The sequence below is a fragment of the Homo sapiens genome, chromosome 4, assembly GCF_000001405.40.
Source record: "Homo sapiens chromosome 4, GRCh38.p14 Primary Assembly".
Classification (NCBI taxonomy): Eukaryota; Metazoa; Chordata; class Mammalia; order Primates; family Hominidae; genus Homo; species Homo sapiens.
Window position 1 is genome coordinate 68,627,981 of NC_000004.12, and position 1,515 is coordinate 68,629,495.

The window sequence follows — 1,515 nt, forward strand, 5'->3', positions numbered from 1 at the left end:
TATAGGAGCGATGGCCAAAGGGTTCTAGCTGAGCCTATAATATCAACATTTCTATAATATTTGTGAGATTGATAGATCATCTTACATTTGCCATTCATCATTTCATTTAAACAACACTATCTTCTTACATTATATTTATATACGCTCACCTTCAAAGGCAAAAGGAAAGTTAGAACTTATTAACCATTGATTAGAAACATGACTTACCTAGAACTTCACTGTAAAACTTCTCCCACTTCTCGTATCAAACATTTGAAACCAAAAGTCAAAATAAAGCACATGTATTAAATTTTTAATCCTCTCCACGAATGTCATTTTACCACTTAATTCAGACAGAACAGCAGGTATGCGGGAAGTGGGGAATAGAAGTCCTCCACTATACTTCTCAAGTGTGTAGCCAGGAGACTGTCAACAAAGGACATGTATTTAACATGCCTTTAACATGCTCAGCTAGCAGTTCACCACAGGCACCAAGGGCATCTGCAAGAACGACATCAAACTTTGACTCTTGTAGTTTTGTCGTAATTTTCTTGTTCAAAACTACATCTTTACAGAGATTATTAACACAGTCTGTAGATTCCCAAAAGAGTTCTTGTGCTTGTGAGAAATATGACCAAAATGCATCTTTCTGAAGATCGTATATCCATCTATTGATCAGTTTCACAACAAGACCCTCAAAATTATTTTTAATTAGAGATGTTGGATAAACCTCAAATCTAATAGCAGATGATTTACTAGGGTGAATAATAATGGAAGCCAAAGATGACAGCACAGTCATCTTATGGCCTCTCCAAACAAGTTCATCCAGGATTGTCTTTATATTCATCCAATGGCTGTATTCTGTGGGCCACACTAGCACCTTTCCACAACTCCCAGAACTAAAGTGACAACTGAGTTGTATCAGGAGAATATTTGACATCGATTTCATAGTTCTCCTGGTGCAATGCAATGCTTCTTTTCAAATCGCTGTTTCTTTCTGTTTTTCTCCTACTTATATCTGAAGATAAATCAATCAAGTGAAAGTATAACTGCTACAATTCAAAGTAGTAGTTACCATATAATTTCTAAATTACCATAGGAATTGTCTGTTACCATATAATTTCTAAATTACCATAGGAATTTCCAGATTGTTTTTCACAGTGGATGCTTCAATTTCCATTCTCACCAGCAATGTATAAGAATTTTAATTTCTTCCCAACCTTGCCAACACTTGGGATTATATTTCGTTTGATTATAGCCAGTGTGAATGAAGTGATATCTGGTTATGCTTTACCTTTCTTTGATATGAAATCATGTTGAGCATGTTTTGCCTAATTTTGGTTGAATTATTTGTCTTCTTATGGACTTGTGTTTTTAATATCTTTCTGATATAAGAACCTTATCACATATATGATTTCCTTGTTTTTTTTTTATTCTTTGGGCTGTCCTTTTACTTTCTTAACGGTGTTCATTGAAGCACAAAAGTATTGATTTTGATGAAGTCCAACTAATCAATTTTAATTTGGTTGCTTTTAT

At 34.1% G+C, this 1,515-nt stretch overlaps 1 pseudogene; it reads right to left on the minus strand.

Annotated features, from left to right (window-relative positions):
- On the minus strand, positions 201-971 carry LOC728807 (UDP glucuronosyltransferase family 2 member B15 pseudogene; annotated as a pseudogene).